This window comes from Homo sapiens, chromosome 20 (assembly GCF_000001405.40).
Source record: "Homo sapiens chromosome 20, GRCh38.p14 Primary Assembly".
Taxonomy (NCBI): Eukaryota; Metazoa; Chordata; class Mammalia; order Primates; family Hominidae; genus Homo; species Homo sapiens.
The window spans coordinates 40,691,521-40,717,893 of record NC_000020.11 but is presented as its reverse complement, the minus strand read 5'-3'; the positions used below and the strand labels follow the sequence as shown (position 1 = coordinate 40,717,893).

General features: G+C 46.6%; 1 long non-coding RNA gene and 1 other non-coding gene across 2 annotated transcripts, besides 1 other annotated feature; both read left to right on the top strand.

Annotated features, from left to right (window-relative positions):
- The first annotated feature begins 463 nt into the window (after positions 1-463).
- LOC101927098 (uncharacterized) lies at positions 464-21,045 on the top strand. Its single transcript, NR_187686.1, has 5 exons — positions 464-836; positions 927-996; positions 3,462-3,582; positions 6,898-7,129; positions 19,772-21,045. It is a non-coding gene; the product is annotated as an uncharacterized LOC101927098 (long non-coding RNA).
- SNORD154 (small nucleolar RNA, C/D box 154) lies at positions 3,271-3,322 on the top strand. The gene has a single exon (NR_145814.1). It is a non-coding gene; the product is annotated as a small nucleolar RNA, C/D box 154 (small nucleolar RNA).
- Positions 11,475-12,352: an enhancer, noted in NCBI's record as "VISTA enhancer hs1086". NCBI's record gives its function as "enhancer in: hindbrain (rhombencephalon)[5/8]" and the evidence as "EXISTENCE:transgenic organism evidence [ECO:0001131][PMID:17130149]".

Below are 26,373 nucleotides of genomic sequence, written 5' to 3'. Positions count from 1 at the left end.
CTCCCTAAATGCCTTGATACACCCTGTCCAACTGCCAGGGAGAGAGCCCCAGTGAAATTTTAGGGCCATGGACTCTGTCATCCTAGTCTGGTTTCAGCCTCGAGGGAGGGGGGTGTGAAGGCCTGCTGCCTGCAGAGGCTTCTGCAGCCTTTCTACAGGATCTGGGCAATCTCTTGGCCGCTCTGAAACCCGACGTCCACATCCAGAGCTTCGTGAACAATGCGGGGCAGAGCACTGAAGCCCTCTGGCAGCACCCTTTCCACTGCCTTGTGGCCAGGGGGGCCCACGGCAGCCTCCGAGGGTGCTGGACTCACCTGATGACGGCTTCTTTTATTGTCTTCCCTTCTGCCTGCTTGCTGGGCTCCAGCCAGCCCAAGTTCCCTCATGCGCCTGTCTGGGCCTGCCCAATCCGTGGCCACCTCCTCAGCTGGTCCTGCACAGGCTCCAACCCTGTTGGGGTTGCATATCCCCTGTTTGTGCTGCCCGCCAGCTGGCTAATTCTGATTATTTCTCCTTCTCCTTGCTCTCTTGGGCGCCTTTATTCCTGATTGTGCATTTTCTCTGGACTCAGGATTAAAAAAACCCACGCTGCTGATATCCTTGTCAGCCTTTTCCTGAATCATTGCTGTGCAGCTCCAGGGAGCCACGGGCCGGTGCCTTCTGACCGGCAGACTCCGTCCATGGGCCTTCCTGTCCTTGGGGTCCTGGAGCTCTCTGTCTGAGCCTCCTTGGCCACTGAAGCAACACCCAGAGGCCTGCATCCTCTAAGAAATGCCAGCCAGGGTTGCAGATGGAGCCAAGAATTGAAAATCTGGCCGAGTCTTTCCATCTCACAGGTGATTTCTCTCAAGCACCAGATAATTTTTAAATTTTGAAGTGCTTTTCTCCACGTGATCTCATTTGCTGTTATTGTCCCTGTTTTACAGATGAGCAAGCTGAACCTCAGAGGGCTTAGTGATGTGGTTGAGGCACAGCCACCAAGGATCAATGACTGAGGTATGGGGGAAATAATCATTTCTACCTGACAGATGAGGAAACTGAGGCTCACGTTGCTCAAAGGGCTTGTCCCAAATCATACAGCAGTAAGAGGTGGTGATAGAAGTGGGTTTCAGGCACTGCAGCCTCCAGGCCAGAGGTACAGAGTCAAGCTCGGTTGCCCACACCAGCCCTGGTCACAGGGGCAGTACCCAACTCTGGACAGGGTTCTGTTCTGCATTGTGCATAAAAAATCAGGTCAGTCCAGCAGGGAAACACCCACCAGGCAGTATTCAAGAGCCCCAAGTCCAGGAGTCAGAGGTGGCCAGGGGCTGTCCTGGTTACTCCCATCTCCTCCTATGAACACAGGGCTTGGTGGGGGGTTTGTGTTTGTATTTCGGGGGAAGAGGCTGGTTAACTCCTCAGCCCATCATGCTGCTTGGCCTGTCTCAAACTGCTCTGGGGACGACAGAATAAATATGACTGGGTGGTAACAGGGGTTTCCACACATTATGGTTCAGGTCCAGCCCATGAGAGACTCAGGAGGAAGGTTCCATGTAGCAAATGCCCCTTCGTCCAGGCAGCCCTTCCTGACTCTTCAAGACAGAGCAGATCCTTCCTTCCCGGTCCCCCGGAACCTACTTCTGTGAATCATGACATTCCCACTGATGGGACCAACTGTTCCCCCATCATCCTTCACCTCAGCTGAGTCATAGGCACAAAGACCTCCATGGGTCCATAGATGCTAGTCCTGGGACCAGCCATGGTCACTCATACACATGCCCACCCACCCTCATCCTCACAGAGAGACACAACTGCAGAGAGACACTGTCCCACACATCACTCTCAGATGCTGTGTGGGCACATACGTGCACATGCACACACACACACTCACACACACCCCTGCAGACAAGCACAGACCCACTTAGAGACAAAGTCTGTCCATGTCTATGCATAGACAGACATCTGTTCCTACACCCGGTATTCTGTGTGTCCTCCTTAGAACAGAGGCCACGGCTGATGGCATGGCCTATGGGGATTTGGGATTTGGCTTGCTCAGGTCTGAAGCTTCTTGGGTGGCAAGCTCTAATGCTGGGAACTTCTTTCTGGACTGGTAGCCTATTCCAGCTGGGGCCTCTCTTTGCCCTCTCTTCCCAGACAGCCCAGCCGCAACTATCTCTAGGTAGAATCTGCCCGCATGCACTCCCAATCAGATAAGCATCCTTCTTTTAGGCCCCTGGGGCCCTGTCACCACCAGCCTTGCCACCTCGGCACTTTCTCAATAACTCACAGAGGTCAGCTGTTGCTCACTTGGGGATTTTTTTCCCCTTCTCCTCTGATGCTCTGCTTTCCCTGAGAACAAATACCTGTCCCTGGGGCTCAATGGGTCAACTGGCTAAAAGAGGAAGGATAGGTCAGGGTCCCTGCTGACATCTGGCTTGTGCCCTGCCACAAAGGTGCTGTGAGTCCTAAGAGCGGGGCACAGTGATGGAGCACGGATCCTAGAGTCTGACCGGCTTGAGCTTAAACCCCAGCTCTGTCCCCTCTCAGCTGTGTCACTTTGGACTGCCACTTGACCTATGCAAGCCTTGATTTCTGCTTCTGTAAAGTGGGCATGGCCATTTGAATCTTACAGGATTGCTGAGAGGCTTAGATGAGGTTAAACACATGTAAAAAATACTTATATGACGAGTACTCAAAAAATGTAAGTGAATGACGATTATGGCAACTGAAGTGTAATTGAATTGTTGTTACAGGAATTGCCCTACCCCTATCTTCATGGCCTCTTAGGCCCTGTGAGACTCAGACAAGTTCTGAGCAGTGATTCAAAGAAGGTACAGCCTCCAGCCTTCAGCAGAGGAGGCAAATGAAAGGCTGGCAAGGGCCTGGGCCTCTCTTGCAAAGCAAGAAAGAGCTGGGACGGGAAACAGCTCCCTTTACTGACATGGGCTGTTTCTAGGAAACCTGTCACCAGTCAGTTACTGCCTGTAAAGCCCAAGGGATCACTCTTTTTCTATGAAACCAGGAGGGAGAAAACTCATGGATAAGGAGCCCTATCTAGATAAGAGCTTCATCTGCACTGATCATTTTCACGTATATTATCCCATTTAATCTCAAAACAATTCAGCAAGGAGGAATTATTACAATGAAGGAAGCTGAGGCTCAGAACAATAACATGGCCTGTAAGTGACATGGCTGGGGCTTGAACCCTCAGTATCTGACTTCACATGATGGGTTGTTCCCCAGCGTCCTGGCCACCTTTAGAAAGTGAACAGCAGAAAAAGTGAACAGAATGGAAATGATGAAACCAGCTTCCTTGTCCTCAGAGGCAAGATGCTGAACAAATCCATCCTGTAAGCAATACTTAGAGCGAATCTTACTCCACAAAACAATTTAGACAAAGACCTAGTTTATGCAGCTGAATATGAAATATGGCTTGTGTCTTAAGACATTTGTATAAAAAGACTATTTCTTTACTGTCACAGCCTCAAAACCACCTCTTCTGAGAGTACTGCTTTCTTACCCGAGGATGGCCCATCAGGGTGATCTGGAAGGCAGAAGACGGGAGTTTTTCTGTGAACTCACTGTGGTGGGGGTGGTCCTTGGGTAAGTTTCATTCTGTCTGCACCCCAGTTTCCTCTTCTATAAAAGGACATGGTTTTCTGGGGTGATTTCTCTGGGTAACTTCTAATTTCCCCTAAACCATGGCTATATTCTCCAACGCAGAACTCATATGAGATCAACAAAGTATGTTTTTCCAACTTATGAATTTCTTTACTAGAAAATCCTAATGAAGGCAGACCACGTAAATAGCATTTGGTTAATGCATTTAGAAAATCCAAGAATAAATTCACATCGGGTATAGAGGCCTAGGTATAAATGGCTGCCCCCTGTCTGACTCTATGACCATCAGAAAAGAAGAACTTTTGGTTTCTGAAGCCTGTGTCCTTGTCACTGATTTAAGTCCTGGCTCTCCTCCATTTAGAGAAGGCAGCAAGGTTCCTGGCCCGAGGTGAACTATCCACCTTTATCCCTGTCTGTGGTGACTGAAAACTTTTGCAGGATTCTTCCTTCTTTCAGAAACAGAAGCACTGGGGGTGGGGAGGACATGGGCAGCAGGTGTGGCCCCCTGGCTGTCCCATGAGGACTGCTGCTAAGGAAGACACAGGCCTGGAAGTGGATTCTTATGGCACCTTCTTTGGTGGGGGGGCCACGGGAAGGAAGGGCGTCAGCATCTGGCTACTGCTGCCAGCAAATCTGTGTGTTGACAGAGTTGCTCCCACATGTGTCCTTTTAAACGCTGATCCCTGCTAGGGATTTGAGTTGACCGACTCCGTTTGCCAAATGCAAATGCATTAACCTTACAATTGGGTAATCTAATAAAAAGGATCAATGGTCTGATTCGGTGCTTATGGAGTCATTTACTGCAAGTGAGAGCAATTGAGCCAGGATGAGCAGCGTTGGGGAGCCCAGAGAATGGCTTCAGGCGGCCATCCCCGCTGACTTCCCCAGGCGAGGCCCACTCTGCCTGGAGGGGCTGGGCCAGGTGGTCAAGGGAATGAGGAGGGTGTTATTCATTCATTACTGCCACTTTAATCACTTAGAAGTTCAATTAAGTATAAATCATTAGTGGTATTTCAAGTTACTTTATCCAGGCCTGTGCGTAACACACTTGACTGGCGGTGGGGAGTTTTCTGTGACTAGATTTAGCGTGCGACTGAACAAGGCAGTCATATGGGTTTTTCTGCTATGAAATTGATAAATGAAGCGGGCATTCGAGGTACAGCAGTAATTTCTGTGGTGCAGTCAAGTGCTCGCTCCCTTGTCTCCTCTAGCAATGAGGGCATGGGCCCCTTTAATATGGCAGCTTTCCCCTGGGGGTCCAAAGGCCAGGCTGGGCTGCAGGCCTAGGGTTTATTTCCTTGCAGAAGTTCCCAGAGTGAGCCCTGGTTCATTAGCAGGAATATACCTGGGAAGGAAAAAAATAAATAAATAAAAGGAGAAGGGGAAAAAGAAGGTTCCCTCACCCTCGTTCACCAGCGCTGATGCTGTCATGATTTTTTTCAGAGTAGCAAGCAGGTAGTGCTGGAAGGACGGAATCGGGCTATCTCGGCAGCTCGTTCCGACTTCCCAAGGATGCAGTTGTCCCCAGTGGCCAGCATCCCTGTCTGGAAAGCATATTTTCTCCTAATCGGTTTTACAGCTCTTTTAAGGTAATATGTCAGATCATTTTCCCCATATACATAGTTAATGAAAGTAACCCTACAAATTCATTTTAAATAGATGGAAGTTGTTATAACCCTGATCCAGAATTTATTACGTTCATTACAATCTTGCTGAAGTAGGTAATGTAATGGACTATTACTTTTATTATCTTTTTAATCCCTCAGAATTATTAGGAACTAACTAATATTTGGCATCACCCTGTTAATGTTTAAACAGAAATTGATACTTTAATTCGTCTAGTAAATGATGGAGGCACTTTGAGTGGAAACAAAAGCCTGATGGGATTTATCTCGATCAGTCCCAAAGACTTTTAAGTGGGACTCAGGGGTCTGAATGCAATTATTTCCAGGCAGGGTATCTTCATCAAGTACTCAGAAAGGACAGAGGAACAGAGATGGCGATAGTGACAGAGAGACCCAGACGGACTCTCTTGTCAGACAGCAACAACAACAAGGCAGAAAAGAGAAAGAGAGAGAAATTCCACTCATACATTCACGTGTGAATTCTGATTCACAAAAAATTAGAGTTCAAGCTCTGATTCGGGCTGATAACTCCAGCAATGAGCTCTATGTATCTTTTCCTCCTTGCCCTTCATCTTCCCTTCCCCTCCTCCCCAGATTAAAAAGATTTTTTTCTTTATAACCATCCCTCTCTTAGTAATCAGCTTTATGGCTAAGAATTCTCAAGTGCTCTAGAATTCGTGCGTTGCCGAGACAAATGATTGGGCCACATTCTCCTAGTGAGGAGTGGAGACCCTGTTTGCTCCTTAAAAAATAATGATGGCTGCTCAATTTGCAAATTACCAAATCTCACTGTGCAATGGGAGGGGGCGGGAGGGGGCATACTGTTGTGTCTATTCCAGAAGAGGCTGTGTTTACCCTCTAGAACTCCGTTTCCTGCCGGGCGGGTGACAGGTAGGATTTAGGAGAAATTGATCTCTTGCACTTTCTAGCTTTTATAGGGCAAAATGCAAAGCTGGTTACTAAAAGAAAATTATTTTTTAAGTAATAAAAATCTATTAGTTCTAACAGAATGAGAGGAATAAAGTACTTCCCTTTCTGGTTTGATAATAAAAGACATTCGGGAAAGGAAAAGCTGTCATCTTGAAAGGCAAGAGTGTGTTTTCTAACAAAGAAAGCTTCCAGTTAGCAAAGTCATTAATTAGCACAGAGAAGCTCATTAGAATTTAAAGCTGCTTTACTGCGTAGTGTGGCTTTGCTCTCTCTAAATGCTCGGGGTTTCCAAAGCAAGAAAAGTATTGATTAAATTGACTCAGCATGAAATGTACCCCATTTGTGCCGACCCATAAAGAGGTGGGCTTCTCGGCTTTCTTAGCAGAAGAACCTGCCAGGTGTCCTGTGAGCTGGGCCCAGGTGGGTGGGCTGGGGACAGCATCCTGCCTGCCTGTACGCTTACTTACTTTGAGGGACCGACCGACTGCCCATCATTCGGCAAAAACCCGTTTTGATCAATGGAGGGGAAACCTGCCCTTAGTTAAGTTTATTCCCGATGCCTTACAAATCTGATTTTGTAAATGCTGATTGCATTCGTCAACGCGGAGTTGACAAGGGCTACACGTCATTTGGGGCTTGATAAAGAGACTAAGAGGCAGCTTCTCAGCATGTTTATTTTTAATAGACATAAAAAATGAAAACAAAAACAGGCTTTCTCACTCCTTGGAACTCTCGTTGACAGAAAAGTACTGAGTACACAGAAGTGGCGACGGGCAAATGGAGATCCTGGAAAAGGAGGTTTTCTACCAAAATATCCTTGTGAACATGAGGACAGCTTCCAAACTGAGAAAGAGTGGGCTCGAGAAAGCTCTAATGCTTCTTTCCCTGACACGAAGTGCTTCGTGCAGTGTTTGGCATCAACATGTCGGAGCCGTGGCAACGTTCTCCGTGCATCCCCGCTTGGGCGTCATTTTGTGAGTACGACAAACCCCATCAATTCTTACCTCATCTATTAGAAATGCAGCATTGTGAATGGAAGCAATGTTTTCTGGGGCGCATCATTGGAAATGAAAACTACTTCATTTTTCTATATCTTTACTGAATAGACCTAACCCTTCCCTTCAGCTTCACTGGATGTGGATGGCCCTAAAATACTCTCATGGAGACCATCAAGAGAGAAAGAATGTTGCTTTAAAAGCCAATTAGAAAATATTCACAACATATGTAGCAAAGGGCTAATGTTCTTCCTATAAAAATAACTTTCAAATGGATAAGAAAGATATTAAGATCTCAACAGATAAATGAGAAAAGGGTATGAAAAAGAATTTGCAAAAGAAATTCAAGTAGCTAATATTTAGTGAACACTTACTATATGCCAGGTATAATTTACAAGGGATTTCTCATTCATTCTTTACAAAGACCCTATGAGTTAGGTGTTATTATTCTCATCCCTATTAAAAGATGAGAAAACAAAATAAAGCTTTGAGAAGTTAAATAATCACCCCAAGATCACGCATATTGTAAGTGAGGGGCCAGGATTCAAAATCACTCAGCTTAATCTAGCAGGCAGGGGCTCCTAACTGCTTTGCTGTAACCTCACAAATCCACAGATACAATTGTAAAATAAGGTTTTTTTTTTTTTTTTAAAGTTCATGCTTACTAGTAAACTAAAATATGTTAATTGAAAACAATCAGAAAAATTTCATTATCAGAATAACAATAAAAAATGTTAATATTCAGCTGGGTGTGGTGGCTCATGTCTGTAACCTCAGCGCTTTAGGAGGCTGAGGCAGGCAGATCACTTGAGGCCAGGAGTTCAAGACCAGCCTGGCCAACATGGTGAAACCCCATCTCTACTGAAAATACAAAAGTTAGCCAGGTGTGGTGGCATGAGCATGTAATCCCAGCTACTAGGGTGGCTGAGGCATGAGAATCACTTCAACCTGGGAAGCAGAGGTTGCAGTGAGCTGAGATCGTACCACTGCATTGCAGCTTGGCTGATGAAATGAGACTCTGTCTCAAAAAAAAAAAAAAAAAGGTTGAAACAGATATTCTTAAATATGAATTACAATTTGACAATATCTATCAAGAGTCTTAAAAATGTACAAGTCATTTGACACAGTAATGCTATTGTAAATAATTTATCCCAAAGGAATAGAAATGTAAGCAAAGATTTAGGCACACAAGTTTGTGCCTGCGGACATTAAATGCTCCCACATGAAGGGAGTGGTTAAGGACCTTATGGTCCACCCATTCAACAATATTGGTAACAATAAAAATGATGTTTAAGAGTTTCTAATAACGTGGGAAATGCTTATGCCAGGAGTTAAAAGCAAGATATAAAATTCCATGAATAACATAAACTGTGTAAAATATGGTTAGAAATAAGAATGGGAGAAAAGGAGCAAAAAAATGTAAACCAGGAGGTGTTCTCTGTGCAATGGGATTATGTGTGACCACGTCTTTTTGTTATAAATATTTTCCGAATTTTCCACGGTAAACATGTTTTATTTATCATTGGTGTGGGGCAGCGGAGAAGAAATCCTTTATGACTTTTAGAAGTCGACGTCTTAACTTGAATCTCAGACCTAATGGGAAGGAACCACGGGACCTCAAAGTATCAAATTAACCTAAGACACTGGACGTATTTGTTCTCTGAATCAGCCCAGGATGCCCAAAGACAGCCCTATGTGTTCTTCAACTCTCTGAGCCTTCCCCTCATCTGTAATGTGCCTACTCCTGGGGTTATTGTGAGATTACAATGTGGGTAAAGGCCTTAGAACAGTCCCAAAGTGTAGGCATTCAAAAGATATAAATGGTAATAATAAAGTAATACACTAATTGCGGTCACTGCAGCTGTTGTTTTGTTAGTAGGAAGGAAGAGTTGAGCATCTTGCAGGCACCAGGAAGTGTATACAGACTGGCTTGTCCTGAGAGTGCTAAAAGCATCTTTTACTGACACAGTTCCAGTCCTAGATCTGAGCTCTTGGTGCCACCCAGTCTTTTGTCCGCTGCTGCGTGGGTGTTCTTTGGATTCGGATGTGCGCAGACTTATAGGTAGACCCTTCTTCAGCCTGCCACATCCTGGGCACTTTCTTGGGGCCAGGAACTGTGCTGAACCTTCTCATATACGGATTTTCCCACACATAACTTTGAGAAGCAGGTTTCGTTAGCATTTCTGCTTTATGGCTCAGAGACTACTAGACATCAGTATCATGGGTCACAAAGCCAGAAAGTGGCAAAGCTGGAATCAGAACCTATGTTGATCTGAATTCAGAGATGTCAGAGATGAAGATCAATAATGGCTGAGAACACAGGTTCTAGAATCAGAAAGACCTGGAGTTTGGACTATCTGTGTGGCTTTGAGCAAGTAATAAAAGTGCCTCAGTTTGCTCATCTATAAGATGGGACTTAGAGAGCTTGTATGTTGCACCATTATTTTATGAAACACTAAAAAACAGTCAAATCACTGCCAGTGAAACCATGACATAATACTTTCTTATCACTTAGAATTTTATTTTTATACTTATGAAAAGAACTTTCAGGTTTATTTAAACATAGGTGTTTGTCACAAGACCTTTGTATACATACATGAAAAGGAAAATATAAGTGAAATAATTGTTTAAGTTATTCCTAAAACTTCCTCATATTCAGAGACGAACTCAGCATTGTCAATGTCCATGTTTTTCAACAGACTATCATCTGCTGTCACATTGCAGGCATTTGTGATAGCATTTCTTTAAAAATCACTCCTCTATTGTCCTCAGGATTTTAAGCTGCAAATACTTGTTCCGCAAGTTTTGATGTGTGTTCCCAGATATGACAGTGACATCAAGACTGCTGGCAGGCTGATAGTGATTTTAAAAAGCATCTCAATTTCAGAGGTGTTAAAATGGGAAAAAGAAAATGTATGTCTTAGAATTGATGAAATACAGTAGCTACCATATAGCGTTGTTAGGAGAATTAAATGAGGTCATGCTGGTAAAGAACTTAGACATTAGACTGGACACAGAGTAAATGTTCAATATCATCATCATCATCATCATCTTTATTATATTGCTATTATATTCTGTTCTCTGAGATGTATTGGATATATATGCAGCTCTGTAGGCTCTGTCTCAGAATTCTGAGCCAACATGCAGTACCAAGACATTGGACCCTGAACCACTGGGGTCCTTGCAATGGCTGGTGATGGATGAGACACTGGACCCTGGGGTAGAGCCTGCCCCCTCTCCTTCTCTGTCTCCCTCTCTCTGCATGCTTTGCGAACCTTCTCTCTCTCTCCCTGCCTTTCCCTCCTTTACTTATTTCTCTGCTCCTTCTCCTTATCTCTGCTTCCCTTTCCACCCCCTCCCCAGCTCTTCTGCAAATAAATGGCCCTGTCACTCTGGCTTTCTTGTAGGTTTAGAGTGAATGGAAGTGTCTTTTTGAAAAGCTTGTTTCGTCTGACATTCCTTACCAGCTCAGGAGCAGGGTCCTTTGCACTCCCCTCTCTTCTGCTCAAAGATCTACTTATTTAGTTAACAATTTACAGGGCTGCCACTAGGCCTTGAGAGCTCCACCCCACAGCAGAGGCAGCTGGGCTGTGCCCTCTGGAGGAGGCCTATTGGCAGGCTTGGAGGGGTGCTTCCGTCCTGCCTCTAGTGGTTGTAGGTGAACTGGCTTAGGACCTGCCTAAAAAGAAACCATTTATTCCCATTTATGATTCTTTAAAAAAGAAGTTCACAGCTTTTATGATGAGCCTTTATGCATTTAATGACATTAAAGTATTTGATTATGTGCATTAAGAAGAGGTCTGAGAGCTCTCTGGTGTCCTTAGTTTTAAGTGTATTTTAACTGCCTACAATGAAAGGAACAAGACAAAAAACGAGCTGTGGCAGCATCCTCATAAATTCTGAGCCATAATTGACATACTTTTGCTGGCACCAGGAATGGTCCAGGCAGGTAGACACAGAGAAGAGGAACAACAGAATTTCCACTTTCTCACTGGCCTGAGTACCAGAGGGAAAGCAAGATCAGCCATCCCTGCAATACTTTCTCTTCAACCAGCATCTCAGCCAGGGATGAGCAGAGACTGGGACTGACATGAACTGAAGATCCCACTTTGTACCCAGCCTGTGCCAGGTTCTTTACAATTACTTCTGTGTTTCATCTCCAGATGCAGGTGTCTTTAGCCCCATTTTCCATATGAAGAAGCTGAGCCTCTGCAAAGTAAAATGACTTGCTCCAAGTTGGCAAATGTCAGACCTATTATCTAAAAACAAGTCTTTCTGATCCTGGGGCTTCAGCCCTTTGCACAGGCGCTGGATCTGGAGCTCCAAGTGACACACATTTGGGGAATAGTTAATAGACAAGGAGAAGGGAATAGGTACTGAGGCCAGGGAAGCATAGGCCTTTACAGAAAAGCTTCTTCCTCCCGTTCTCCAGGCCCCAGCCCCTTGGAGGCGTGCATTGCAGTGGAAATGGAATCAGGACAGAAACAGCCACTTGAAATGAACTGCACCCAGACAGGCCGCCATGGTGGCGTGATTGATACTGGAGCATGTAGGTGTAATGAAACTGATGCTGGCTTCTCTGCACCTGTGATTTATTGAGGACAAATTTAAGATGAGAAAGGGCCCCATACCAGGAGCTGCATCTTCCCCTCCAAGGGAGGGTGGTCATCCATCACCAGCCATTGCAAGGGCCCCTTGCAAGCGGCTCATCAGATGAGCCAATAGTCTCTTTGTTGGGGTTCCTAACAAGTGTTGGATCAGCAAAAGTCTATTTATGCTGGTGGACCTTTCAGGACCAATTTGTAGTGGGTCACTGATTCTGCTGGGGTATTATCTTCTTTACTACTCGGGCCAGTTGGGGAATGCAGCAAAGATTAATGGTTTTGGCTGCTGACTTGCTGCCGCAATCTACTGCTTCTGGACCAAAGATTAAGTTTTTTTGTGTTTTACCAGAAAGGGCCCACCTTGTGTACGAGATGCACTTTGATTTACTGACTTGCTTACGGAGAAAGGAGTCGTGGAAATGTACCTGGCTGTGGTAAGATTTTGGAAGATGGCTGTGAGGTCTGGCATCCATGTTGTTCCTTACCCCAAGGACCCATACAGGGAATGGGTGGCTCCTGAGGCCAGTGTGGGTCCTGTGGCCCTGGGGTCTGTGGACTGAGGAAGCTGACTTTGAGCTCACACAACATCTTTGCCTTGCCTGGCACCCAGCAGCTGCCTCTGAATTCAGAGAGGCAGACAGCACCCTAAACTTTATCATGTAAAAATTATGTTATGGAAAAAAATAGTTACAGCTTTTCCTTTTTATTATGAAAATAGCATATGCTCTTATAACACATTTTGGAAAAAAAATTCAAGAAGCAAATAAAACTACACATAAGCCAACTGCACAGTGATAGGACTGTTAATATTTGGCTTACATTTTAATCTAGAATTTTCACAGTGCACAAATATATGCATGTTACTTTACACTATTAAATGTATACTGGATTTTTGTGGGACTTTTTTTGCTATATGATTGTATCATCCACTTTTTACAATGAACATTGTACCATAAGCTTATTTTAATAAGCCATCCTTTTGTTTTTTCTTCTAAAGTTGGGTTTGCTGCGATATCTCCAATGCTAAAGGTCTGTTCCTTTATTCAGCAAACATTTGCTGTGTGCTTCTCTGGATCAGACGCTGTGCTGGGATCACAGAGCTGAGTCAGACACAGCACTCCTGAAGTGCAGCTGCTGGAATCAGCTCACGGGGCTATGCATGTGCCCTGAGGGGTGCTTCTGACATGCATTTCTTAGAAGGGCCCAGGACACTGCACATAGTTTGGAGGCAGGGGCCTGATACCACTGACCCCTTCCAGGTCCCTGTAGAATCACAGTTCCAGAGGAGGAATTACGCATTTTGTTCTGCAGGAGAGGGACCTGCTATTGGCTTTGGATACACCAGCTTAGCTTTTTAGAGTGAATTGAGATCTGAGGGCTAAATCTTTCTGCAGGGGCAACAGCAGCCCCATCTTGGAAAACTGAAGAAAGAGCCCAGTAGCCCCCAAGGGACTAGCCACCCAGGGCAGTTGCAGAAACTTCCAGGGAGATAGTAAGAAATGCCAAAAAGAGTGTGGCCTTGCGACTCCAACAGATCTGAGTTTGAATCTCCTAGCTGATGACCTTGAACAAGTTTTCTTTCTGAGAGCTTCATTTTCCTTATCGGAAAAATGGGGCTTTTCCCCCACCAGCTACTGGCCTCTTGTGTGTGTTCACCATGTGGAAAGTCCCACGTGAAGAGCTGGTGTTCAGCCCGGACCAGGCCCATTTTCCAGATGCTGTGCTGACTCAAATAGATGGATGGGCTCTAATTGTTCCAACAACACGTCTGAGTTTCGCAGGGCCTTTCCTTGGGAGCCTTTGTCTTAGGGCCATAAATCACTAGGCACCTGTCCCCACAGTTGGCTACGACTTCCTTTCCCTGACTGAGGCTGGCTGAGGGAGGGAGGGCTGAGCTGAGCACAAGCCTGCTTTTCACCATTGGTTTTTAAATCTCTAATTGGGAGTATTACTTACTCAGCGATTCTGATGGTTCCCTTTGTAGTAGCCTCTTCTCTGCCCCAGGGCCGCCTTCTTCCCTTCCCCTCCACCCTAGTCCCAAATTAAAATTCTTTCAGGAAGTAGAACATTTTCTCTAGTGCTCTGACATGCACACGCACTTCCCCCATACCTGTCTTGATAACTGGTGGAGCATTTGTCATCTGGCCTGAGGCCTCTTGTCTATATGACATGTTCTGTGTATGGGAGAGACATTTCTCTTGGTTCAAGAGCAGCAGTTAACAGCCCCAGATGTCCCCCAGCCTGTGAGTCTCGCTTCCTACTCTGCTGTACCTATTGTATACTGAACACTCCTGAAAATCCCTGGCTCCTTTCTGCCCCAGGACATTTTCTCTCGCCTTTCTTTTTGCCTGAACGCCCTTCCCTGGGCTCTTTACATGGCTGTCTCCTTTTCATCATTCAAATCTCAGCTTAAATGTTATAGAGAAAGCTTCCCCGACCTTCTCTGACTCTAGAACAAGTCTTGTTTGCCCATGTTAAACTTCTTGATGGCATGCAATCCACTTCCTACCTCAGACTTTTCAGGGTTTGTGAAGCTGTATCTGCGTAATGGCAGATTTAACAAGCGTTTGACTCTCCTGCCTTCACCGTAAGTGCCAGAAGGACAGGATGATCACCTTTGTATTCTCAGTTTCTGGTACATCTCAGTTTCTGGTAGGCTCTCAACAAACAGGTGTGTTGACTGCACAATGAACCGATGGATGGATGATGGATCAATGAATTGGAGAGTGAGTGAGTGAATAAACAAATGAATTCCAGAGTGGTGTGCAAAGGCTTATTTTCCCTCAGATGACCTGAGAATGCATGAGGGGCTGAGTGCCTTCCCAGTCCCATCTCTGTGGGGCCAAACCTCACTCACTACCTACCTAAATGTTTCTGAAACCCGTACCTACAACTCTTCATACTTAGTGATCTGCCTTCATCCTCTGCCCTCCTTTTTAGTTTAAACTTTTTATTATGACATTTTCCAAACATACAGAAGAAGAGAAAATCACTATAAACCTGCATGCACCCTTGACCCCCACCCCCTTGCTGGAGTATTTAAAATAAATCACAGACATCATCTCATTTCATGTATAAACATTTTAGGAGGTATTGTTAGTAGATAAGGACTTACAATTTCTTTTAACATAACCACAATATCATTATCACATCTAACCCAATGAAAAAACCAATTCATTTAATATTTGGTAGAGATTCAAATATTCCCAATTGTCTCAAAACCTCCTTTTTACATTTAGAGTCAGGCTGTAAACATTGCATTAGACTGATATGTCTCTTAATATTCTTTATAACAGTCCTCCCTTTTTCTCACATTTAAAAATGTGATTTATTTCTCTTTTCTAAATGCCATTTGTTTCTTGATGAATTTTGGTCATTCTCCTGTAGATTGTTTCACATTCCAGATTCAGCTGAGCGCCTCCTTGTGGTGTTGTTTAACGTGTTCCTCCATCCCCTGTGTTTCCTGGAAATCAGTAGTTTGATCCAGAGGCCTGATCAGAGTCGTATTCGATTTTTGGCTAGAAGCCTTTGTAGATGGTGTTGTGATGGTTCTTGTTGTATCACCTGCTAATGTCAAGTTGTCTCTCCTTTAACAGTGTTAAAATTGATCTGTGGCTCACCCTGCCCTAATTAACTCCCAACTCCCTTCTCTATTTCCATTGCTATATGAAATTGTTTTGCAAAACAAGTCAGTGGAGAACATTGATCATATTGAGCAGAAGTGGGAGCAGCAAGGTCTGATGGCAAATGCACTAGCAGAGAGCATAGGGACCAGGTAAGAGGGTTAATTTCTTTGCATTTCAGTTTTCTTGAGTGTAAGATGGGGCTAATAATAGTAGCTTTGAGAACTAATACATGGGAGAAATGTTTGATACATAATCATCAACCCTCAACACTAAGTGCTTAATGTGTATCTACTCACTTAATCCTCCCAACAATCCAATGAGGTAAATGCTACTATTAGTCCCATTGTACACGTGAAGAAGAGCAGACAGAAGGGTTAGGCAACTTGCACAAGGCCATATAGGTAGTAAATGACAGAGCTGGGATTTGAACCCAGGGAGTCAGGCTCCAGAGCCTGTGCTCTTAAACACAGTGCTGTGTAACATCTACCAAGTCAATGAGGAGCTCCCGGTTTTTCTCCATGCAAGATGCTTGTCAAGTCCTTCCCAGGAATGAGTACCTGTTAATTCTCACCTTAAGATATGTGCAGGGGTGGAGTAAGGCAGTCCCCAGTGGCTGGAGGGGTTACTGTGCTTTATTCTGAGTTTTCTTACAAAGTCATATTGTCCCCCACCCCCAACTGCTGTTGGATGGGCCAGAGCCAGCTTCATAAGCTCACATGCTGGAGAAGGGTTTGGGGAACATAAGGTCTCACCCTCATTTGGGAAGGATTCATGTCTCCAGAAAAACTCTCTGAAGCCCAGTGAAGTTAAGTGACTTGCCCAAGATCACACAGTAAGTTTGCCACTGAGCTAGGGTTAGAACCCCAGACTCTCTCAAGCCTTGGGTGATTGGGTCTGGATACCTGGGTCCTTCCATGCTTGGTTAGAGGGAGTTGTATGTCTACTCCCCATTCCCAGATCCTCTGAGTCATTTTGGCCAGAACTCCTCTGGTGGTACAAAGGGACAAACCTGCCTGCTGAGATTGTGCAGCCATTCAGGGCTTGCCTGGCATATCACAAGACGTTCCCTTCTTGGTCACTATTGTAGATGTCTGGGCCTACTGATCTCATGCTTCCAAAGGCATTCTGGAAACAGCCCTTTCCTCTCCCCTGGCTTCAATCTTGAAGCAAAATCAAATAAAGGTGCAGAGCAAGAATTCGAACTCAGTTCTTCTGACTCCAAGTTTAGAAGGCCAGAAGTAAAGTAAGTCCATGATCACTGATGCCAGTGCATCTGCCATAACTACAGCTGTACCTTCCAGATGGGAAAGTGAGGCTAAGAGAGGGGTAGGTAATTTAATGTACTCACATAGCTTTACCTACAGCGTGGGCTGCTGCAAAGGAGTCAGGTGGTTCCTTTTGTGACCCAGGAGGTTCAGAGAGTGGTCTCTCGTTGGGTTGCATGTACATCCTGGCCTGGAGAGTACCTGGTGAGCTCAGGGTGCCAGAACTGGGGCTGGAGGGGTTTCTGAGCCTAGGAAAACAGCCTATGGTCTGTGGGCCCAGCTTGTCTGATTACAAAGTCCAAGACAATAATTGAAGGTGGCTTTGGGTTCCCTGAGTAGGATCTGGCGCCGACGCCTGGTGGCTCTGTTGGCGCCTTGAGCCCTGAGCATTCGCTAATGGATTGTGGCTGATCCCAAGACTGATTGGCAGCCGGCCCCAAGGTCCTCAAGGGAAACCTGGAAACTATGGTCTCCAGCTTGGAGACACTCTCCCTTCTGGGAGCCACAAGGGGTGTGGGGGGAGCTTGCAGAAGGCCTAAGGCAGAAGTTCTTCTGAGCCCACGGGATGATCCCTCTCTTCCCAAACACTGGGGTAGAATACGAGGTGAGGTTCCCACAGAGTGAAATACGGAAAGCTGTCAAAATGCCAACTGCTCATTTCATCTCCTTGCTGCTTCCCTGCCCCACTCTCCTGGGCTGGCCAGCACTATAGCCCCCCACCCCTGTCCAAGCAATAGTGGAGACAGTAAGAGTGCTCAAAGGTTTTCTAAAATAGCACATAGGGATGGGAGTGGTCTCAAGACAAGGGGGAAAACCTTTCTCAGACAAGCCAGGCTACCATCATTCCCAGAACAGAGGAGAGAGGAATTAACCCTTCTGGAGAGCTCAGAAGACTGAGGGCTTTCCTGCTGTCCGGGAAGGGCTTTCCAGATCAGGGCACAGCACAAACAAAAGCAGAGAGGCAAAAGCTTGCAAGAAACAGCACAGGAGAACTGGAAGGTAGAGTGTTAGTGAAGGGAGGATAGAGGGGCAGGCCTTGAAAGCACTGAAAAAATCTCAGACTTTACCTGGTGGCAGTAGGGATCCATTGAAGGTTTTAAAGGGAGGGCAGAGGAGAGGAACCTGGAATCTTTTCATAGTCATGGCTCTCTTGTGCCTGATTAGTCAGGGCAAAAGGCAAATACAAAACGGATGCATCTGACCTTTTTCTAGGACACCCAATATTTATGCGCTTTGTGCATCACCCAAATTTTATTCATTTACCAAAAGAGTGTGAAAAAGGCACTTTAGGAAACTGCTATAAATCCAGTGCAAGTCACCATGGTAACCTGATTAGCAGCTAAATTAAGTTCATGATTAAGAAGAAATAAATAAAAATAACTCTCCTCCTTGGCTGGGGCTACCCACTGTGCCACTGGCAGCCAAGCAGATGCTGAGGCTTTGGGAAGCAAGGGTATAAGCCTGGGCCTGGCCCCCAAGAGAAGTTGAGGCAAGGGTGGGAGGTGTTATCTGCTGCAGAGAAGCGAGAAGCTCAATTGTTAACACTGCCTGGGGGTTAGTGAGTCCCCTGGCAACCAAGCCAGGGAGTGCAGGCTACACATCTGAAGGCTAAAGCAATGGCTTTCCTGACAACAACCCATGCTCTCTAAGGGTGTCTTCTTGATGCCCCTGGGACACGTTCCTTTGTCCAAGCACCAGGTGCATGTATTGCTGTCTCTCCAGTGCTATGCCCTCCAGTGCTGGGTGCTGACATGACTCAGACCTGGTTTTGGTCCTAGAGAGGCTGAGTTTGGTGGTGGACACAGATATAACAGATGCTCTGGGCAAAGTGTCTATATAAGGTGCTATGAAAACATGCGCCAGCCAGCAGGAAGGCTTCCTGGAGGAGGTAATGCCCAAGAGAAAAGCACATGTGTGGCTGCTGGAAAGTGCCTATTTCAGGTGAGCATTCTGGGCCATCTGCTTGGGGCTGACTGGCAGACCAGCCTGGAATGAGCTGGCATCAGCCCTGATGAGACCAGAAAAGCCTTGTTGGGGGTTGTGCTGAAACACATCCCAGGGCCCATAAGCAGGAGAGATGGGTGCAAAGAGAGAAATGAGCCTCCCACTTACCCTTTCCAAGCCTCCTCCTGGCCACAGCAGTCCAGAGCAATAGTTAGAGTCAAACAGCCTTTGAATCTTTCCTCTGTCACTTGTAACTTGTGCCCTCTGGCAAGGGACTTAATTTATTTAAGCCTCAGCCTACAAAATGGGGTAATAATGAAGATAGTACCTGTCTGTTAAGGTTATTGTGAAGGACTAAGTGAGATGATGCAATCTAAATATAATCCAGTCCCTCACATGTAGAAAACACACAAGAAGATGTTTGCTTGGCTAATTTCATTACCTGGGGAAGTCTGCCATGACTGGGTGGCATGATCCTGGTTGCAACTTTCCTAGAGCAGTGCTGCAGTCTAAGACTCTTCCTTCCACATCCTCCTTCCTTCCCCCTCTCCTTTCACAGGGGCAAGACCAACATCACGGTCTGAAGGCTCTCCCTGCCTCCTCTTGCCCTTTTTTCCTTTATACTTCACAGGTGTGTCCCCCAATCAATCTCTTACACATAGAATCCTGTTTTGGCTTCTGCTTCTCAGAAGACCCCAAATGACATAGAAGGTCTTGGAGAAGAGTCCAACAGGTGGGTGGTAGAAGAGGTAGAATGGAGCCCCAGCAGCAGGTCACAGAGGTGTCTATAGGTGGGGGGGTGCAGGCCTTCAAGGACTCTGGTGAAGAAGTGCCCAGTCTCTTTTTGTGTCCTGCCCTCAAATGTGGGTGTGTGTTCCTGAGTGTGCACAGTCCCCGAGCATGCTCTCTTGTTGCATTGGCCATAATGTAGTGAAAAAGATCTGTTTCCATCAGAAGAGGATGAGCACTCAGCCCTGAGGAAGTCCTTGGGCATAGTAGATGCTCAGTCAAAAACAAACAAACAAACAAACAAACAACCCCAAACCCTGAAAAACTGAGCACTACTGGGACCTGTACCAACCTTAAGTTTTGCTTTGGACCAATTTTGTTTTCATTTCCTCGTGCTTTGAATTGCATAATGTTAGATCATTTAACCTTTTTAACCCTTTGTTTTTGTGACAGAGACATATATTCACAGACACGTGTACATCTTTATGCCCACACAGAAGGGTAACAGCAGCCTTGCTTCAGAGGCCACACCTTCCAGGAAACCCTTCAGCCTGCCGTGTCTTAGCTGATCCCTCTGCCATCCCCTTGCAGAAGGAGCTTGGAGTCTCTCAGCTCAGCTGGACTAGATGAATCTTCTCAGGGTCGTCTTCTCCCACCTCTGGCTCCCAGTTCCTTCCCCCAGTCTCTCCCTCCCTGCTCTGTGTGATCAGGGAAGCTGCAAACCCAACCCTTACATCAAAAGGGAACTTGAAAAATACTTGGAGCAAAAACTGCTAACTGTGCATCCTTGCTGTATGCTGGCGCTGATATTAAATCAGGAAATGGCACTGAACAGCCGCTCCGAACACAGAAACAGGGGTTGTCAACACAGCAACCAAAAGCAATCTCTAACGGGCAGAGGTGAAAGGGACCTGGCACAGGGCCAGGAGGGGGGCTGCAACCCAGGAAAGAATTCCTGAGCTGAGTGTGTCTGTGCCACCTCTCCAGTGTCCAGAATGAAGCCTGGATCTCAGTCCCTGGCATGGAATGCACCTTGTCTCTCTCCATGAGGGATGAAAGATAATTAGATAATTAAGCATGTTGCTTAAATACCTTTGAAATTCTCCTTTTTATTTCCATACATGTTTACCGAGCACCCACTATGTGCCTGACAGTCCAATAAAAAAGATGCCTTCCCATGTGGAGATGACCTTCTAGCCCTCAGGACAGAACTCTGACCCTTTGACATGGCATTCAAGGTCCTTCGAGTGTTGGCTCCTGCAGAAGCTTTCATCTCTGTTTCCAGCCTCCCTGAAATAGCTCCCCAAGGGCACGAGGCAGTACCTTTGCTCCATGCCTTTGCTTGGACTAGTCCTACCACCAGCAATTCCTGCATTTCTGTGTTTGGCAAGTTTCTGCTCAGCCTCCAAAGCCTTAACCAAGTGTCACCTTTTCTCTGCAGCATTTTCTGCCACCCTCCCCATTTCTTCCAATAGAACCAGGGATCTTTTACTTGGGATCCAGAAGCACTGTGGACATATTGCCATCACAACACCTTTCATGTCACAATGGCAAGGTTTGCACTGTCTTGGAGGAGAGGAAGGAAGCCATATTCATCCCTGAACCCTCATCTCCCAGCACTGGTTGTAAAACTGAAACAAAAATGGAAAACCTTGATGAAATTCATTGTTGGTGTGGCTATGGGGAAACAGATTTTCCATTTCTGATAGTAAATGAAATAGGCACCATCTTGTTAGAGGCTAATTTGACATTATTAACACTGAAAATGCACACATCTTTCAACCCAGCAATTTTATTTCTTGCTTTCTAGAGGAATGTTTGCCCATGTGCAGAAAGGCGCATGTAAAAAGCTGAGTTGCAGCATTGTTTGCAATAGTAAAAGATTTGAAATTGCTTAAATGTCGGTCAATATGGCCTGGATAAAAAACTATAGGGCATCCATTGGATAGAATGCTATGCATTAGTTAAAAAGAAGTAGATTTCCATGTATTGACCAAGCATTTGCTGAGTAAAAATCAAAAGCAAGCTGTAGCTCTAGACATAGATGTTAAAATTACATTGCTGCATTTTTTCACAATGAGAATGTGATCTTCTGTAATTTGTTTTAAAAAGAGATTGAATGACCACAGCAGCTCCTGGCTGAATGGAGACTGGGCTTTGACACAGCCAATCAGCATTATTTCCTCCACCACTCCCACGCAGCAGGTCCCAGGGCAGTGGGAGGGTGCCATCTACTTCCCCTGTACCTGAGAAGTTTGCTCTCCATGTGGTGATGAGCATGTAGTGAGAAGCTGGAATTCTGGGCCCTTGAAGAGCATCCAGACAAAGGAGGAAGAAAGCGAAAGCAGGGAGGCCCATGGGGTGGGATAACTCAAATCATGCAGATTTCTTGAGTTAGTCCTTGGCATCAGGAGGAAGAAGGAAGGATTGGTTCAGGAATGACTGCTAACTCAGGGAGAGGAGGGGGCTGGAGGGTGTGCAGAAAAGGCCTGACAATTCACAGACCTCACACTGTAAGGAAGATCAGCCTTTGCCTAGTTATTAATTTCATTTATTCATTCATTTATTCCACACTTGTAATTGAGTTCCTCCTGGTATGGGCATTGCACTGACTACTGAGGACACAGAGACAACTCCACCTCCTGGAGACTTCCTCTGGAGCTCATGATCAAATTCCATCTAGTTTCTCAGAGTGTGTTTCTTGAACTCCAGGCATCAGAATTACCCAGAGAACTTATTAAAATGCAAATTCTTGGGCTCTACTCAGACCTATAAAATCAGACTGTGGCTCACGAATTTGTGTTTGTAACCCATTTTCTCAAGTGTAAAACATTTGGACTAGCTGACTATATCATTTCCTTGAATGTCCCTGTGTTATTTCCTAAGGCTTCTCCCAAACCTGAGGTCTACCCTGATCCAGGTTGAAGAAAGATGGGATGGAGGTACAAGCTTTGCCCTATGACTCCAGTGTGTAGGATTTCCCTAGAATGACCAGGACCTTGTCCTTGCTAATAGGCTTTTCACCCCACTCCCATGCCTAGGTACACCCAAGTCCCTCCAAGGCCTGGGAAGATCCATAAAACATGTCTTCTAAGTTCCTCAGAAACAAGAGATTGACTCATTGTAAGCAGGGGAATGGCATATGCAAAGGTCCTGTGGCAGAACACAGCTTGGGCTGTGGAAGAACTTAAATAAATCAGTGTGCCTGGAGCATTGTGATGGGGGATGCAGCAAGATGAGGTGGGAGAGGGTAACAAGGGTAGACCATCCATGGCCTGAAGGCTATGCCAAGGAATTTGGTTCTTTTTCCAAGTGTTAAAGTGATTTGTATTTAAGCCAGGGGGTGGGAGAGGGGGAATTATCAGATTCATATAAAAACTATCTCTACTGCCCTGTGGAGAAGCAGAAAGTCTACAGCCAAAGCCTCTGCAATCCTCTAAGGAAAAGATAAGGGTGGCTTGGATGAAGGTTAAGGTACCGGATGAAGGTTAAGGTACCAGATGAAGAACCAGAGAGATCTGGTGGATCTCTCTGGTGGAAGGATAGAGAGGCGATAGTTAGACTATGGGAGGTGAGGGCCTCAGCCCTGGGGAGCAATAATGAGGTTTCAGAATTCCTGACACTGGCTCTGGGGTCATGGGTGGGGGAGGTGTAGTGGGAAGGGAACTGTCCTGGTTATCATTCACTGCACAGTGGCTTTGAGTAGCAGTGAGCTTCTCATCAGCACTGAATCATCTCTCCCCTCTCTTTTTCTCTGTCTCTTTCCTTTGATATTTAGGGATGTATGAATATGGACTGAAGGTCAAACTCAGACCAGAGGCAGGACCCAGGATCAGAGGCCAGGCTGATGCCAAGGGTAAAGGACAGGATGAGAGGACTCTGCAAAATTGTTCTCCTTTGGCCGGTACCCCTGCCTTGGTTTCTCTCCAGCCCCACACAGTCAGGGAAGAGAAAAGGGAAAAGAGAAGTTTGACTGCCACTGATAAGAAGGCACATTAAACACTGTCCTCATAATCAAATTATTGGCAGGGACTTGACACTTGGTAAAGGTTCAGCTGTGAACTGAACAGTCACTAATCCTGTGGCAGCTGAAAATCCTGACCCAGAGAACAGGTGGAGAAGCACCGTACTGACACCAGAATCCCCAGGATGCTATTCAGTTGACACAGAGACCACACGCTTCATAGTATTCAGAGCACTGGACTTGGGACCAGAAGTTCCAGCTCATCACTGCTGTATAACTGTAAAGAAATCATTTAGCCTCTCGAGCCTCATTCTTTGTGTGAGATGGAGATAATCCTACTCATCTCATAGGGCAGTTGTGAGGACTGAATGAGTTTAAATGCAAAATGCTCTTAAGACACTGTGATATATCTGCATCCACCCACTTATCTCCCTGCTTACCTATCTCTGTAAAATAGGGATAATAATAGTTACTACTTCACAGAGTTGTAAGAGTTGAGTGAAAAGGTGAATGATGGAGGCTGAGGTGGGCGGACCATCTGAGGTCAGGAGTTGGAGACCAGCCTGGCCAACATGGTGAAACCCCGTCTCTACTAAAAATACAAAAATTAGCTGAATGTGGTGGTGTGTGCCTTTAATCTCAGCTACTTGGGAGGCTGAGGCAGGAGAATCGATTGAACCCAGGAGGTGGAGGTTGCAGTGAGCCGAGATTACGCCACTGCACTCCAGGCTCCAGCCTGGGCAACAGAGTGAGACTCCATCTCAAAAAATAAAATAAAACAAACCAACAACAACAACAAAAACAACAAAACAAAAAGGTGAATGACAAAAGGCTTTGCAACTCCCTGTACAAATGAGAGTGACTATTATCAAATATCCCATCTGTGTTGGAAGCAATACTGCCCAGTGGTTATCTAATGCAGGCTTGTCCATCAGAAATAGAATGTGAGGCACATGTGTAATTTAAAATTATTTATTGGTCACATTAGAACACAGTAAAAAAAAACAGTGAAATAGTTTTAATAATAATTTCCTACCCCTAAGTGTGTGTGTGTGCTCGCGTGCACATTTCTGCATGTATTGGGGTGTTGTCCCTGGTCCCCAGGAGAGACAGCCAGGATCTTCACAGTCAGTGTAACTCTGGCTCCCTACTGGGACCCTCTGAATCTTTTGGTTGCCTAAAGACCACCAGGACCCAGAAACCCAAGAATACCTTTTTAGAAGCACTGGGTTGGAATCTGACAGCGGTTGTATGGGGCAAGGGAAAGTGGAAGTGATAGCTGCCTTTGGGAAGAGGAAAAGGAAGAGTAAGGGCAAAAAACAGAAACAAAAATCCCCCAGAAAACCCTCCTGTCTCTTTTTGGGTTCCATAGACCTTGGGAGGATCCCACGGAATGGGAGCAACATAATACTTTTCCACTGAGCCTCACAAAAGGTGGCAGAGACCTGAGGGCTCCTTGGAAAAGACAGGTGACACTACATCTGGGTGATGCAAAGGCAGAAGTCAAGCTCCTGCGGCAGGCGGGAGGTGGGGGTCCCCTGATTCAGGACCCTCCCTGGCAGAACTTGCCTCTGAGGCCCTTGAGACCACTGGCCTCTGCTTAGCGACTCCGCATAGTACGATCCGGAGCCCACCGAGCTTTGAAGCTGGAAGTTTCCCGCTCCCGCATCCCGCGTGCTGCTGCGCCTCTCCACCAACACACACGCGCGCGCAAACAGCACACGCACGAACACACCCCTCCCGCACGCCTCCAACAGCACCCATGCGTGCACAGAGACGCCTCCTCGCTCACCAACCACCTGCAACCCTCAGGGAAATAACGCCGAAGGTGAACGGCGCACCTTCGGGCTGAATGAGGATGCCAGGAATGCCGCTCTGGTTTCCAGGCGTACGGGAGGACACGCCGCCGGGCCTCTCTGGAGTTATTCCCTCGGCTGAGTGGGGGCCAACGAGGGCAGCGCGGCAAACCTCACACCTGGCGGCTGGCTGTGGGCTCCACGCTCCCTTAGGGAATAACCTCTTCTCTTACTCCTACCCCGAATGCTCCAAGGCTCTGCAGCGGCTCGGACCCTGCAGAGCTTCCTCCATCACCATTTGTAGCTAAAGAATCCCGAGGCGGTGCGTCCCAGAGGCATAGCCTCTGGCCCAACCTGGCGTGGGTAGAGAGGAGGTCACTCTTGGGTAAACACCTTAAATGGGAGTTTTGGCAACAAGCTGTTCACTAGAGGGGCTGTGGCTGCCGCAAAATCCCCGACTTTCCTTCAGTGTGCCTTGGGACTCCGTGCATTTCCTTCAGTGTGCCTTGGGACTCCGTGCACTGCTCGCGTGTCTCCTGGCCTCCCTTTACTTCTCCTCGACCCTTCACTTCTTCCACCGTTCCTTCTTTTACTTTTTTTCTTTGAGCGTGTCGGACTCCCAGTCAATAGGTATACAGCAGCAATCCCTCACCCTCCTCACCTCAACCCTGCCTACGTTTTAGGGATAGGGTGAAGACTGCGGGCACTGCTGTGTATCCATGACGGGGAGCCGAGCCTGGCATGCTGATCCAGAGACCCCAGAGATGAGAAGCGGCATCCCGCGACAGCAGTCGGAAGTTGGAGGCTATAGGGCCTGGGGCTCCAAGTCAGCGCAGCAGTAACCGGGGTGGGGGAGGCCAGGCCACGAAGTGGGGCCGGCTGCGCAGCAGCGGCCTTAACTCCTCGGCCACCTGCATGTCTCCGTCATTCACCCACAGCCTGGCAGGGGTAGGGCTGTTTCCAACATTTTTTTTTGGTGGGGTAGGTTGTGGGGTGTGCAGAGGAGGGAGTGGCTAAGCTGGGAGAGGGGCAGAGAAACGGATTTGGGTGGGGAAGTGAGCCTGGGGATGGACAGAGATACCACAGTCAAAGCCCAGGCGAAGGGAGTGACCACAACAGAGACAGAGGCACAGGGACAAAGAAGAGCGCGGTTGCCCAAAGCCCGAGTCCAAGAGACCCTGAGTCGGAGGCAGGCCGCCCGCAGGAGAAGAGGAGGTTCGGAACCGCAGACCTGGGGCCTCAGGAATCCCCAGGGCCTTAATGGGCCACGGAAGTCTTCGACGGCCAGTGTCAGG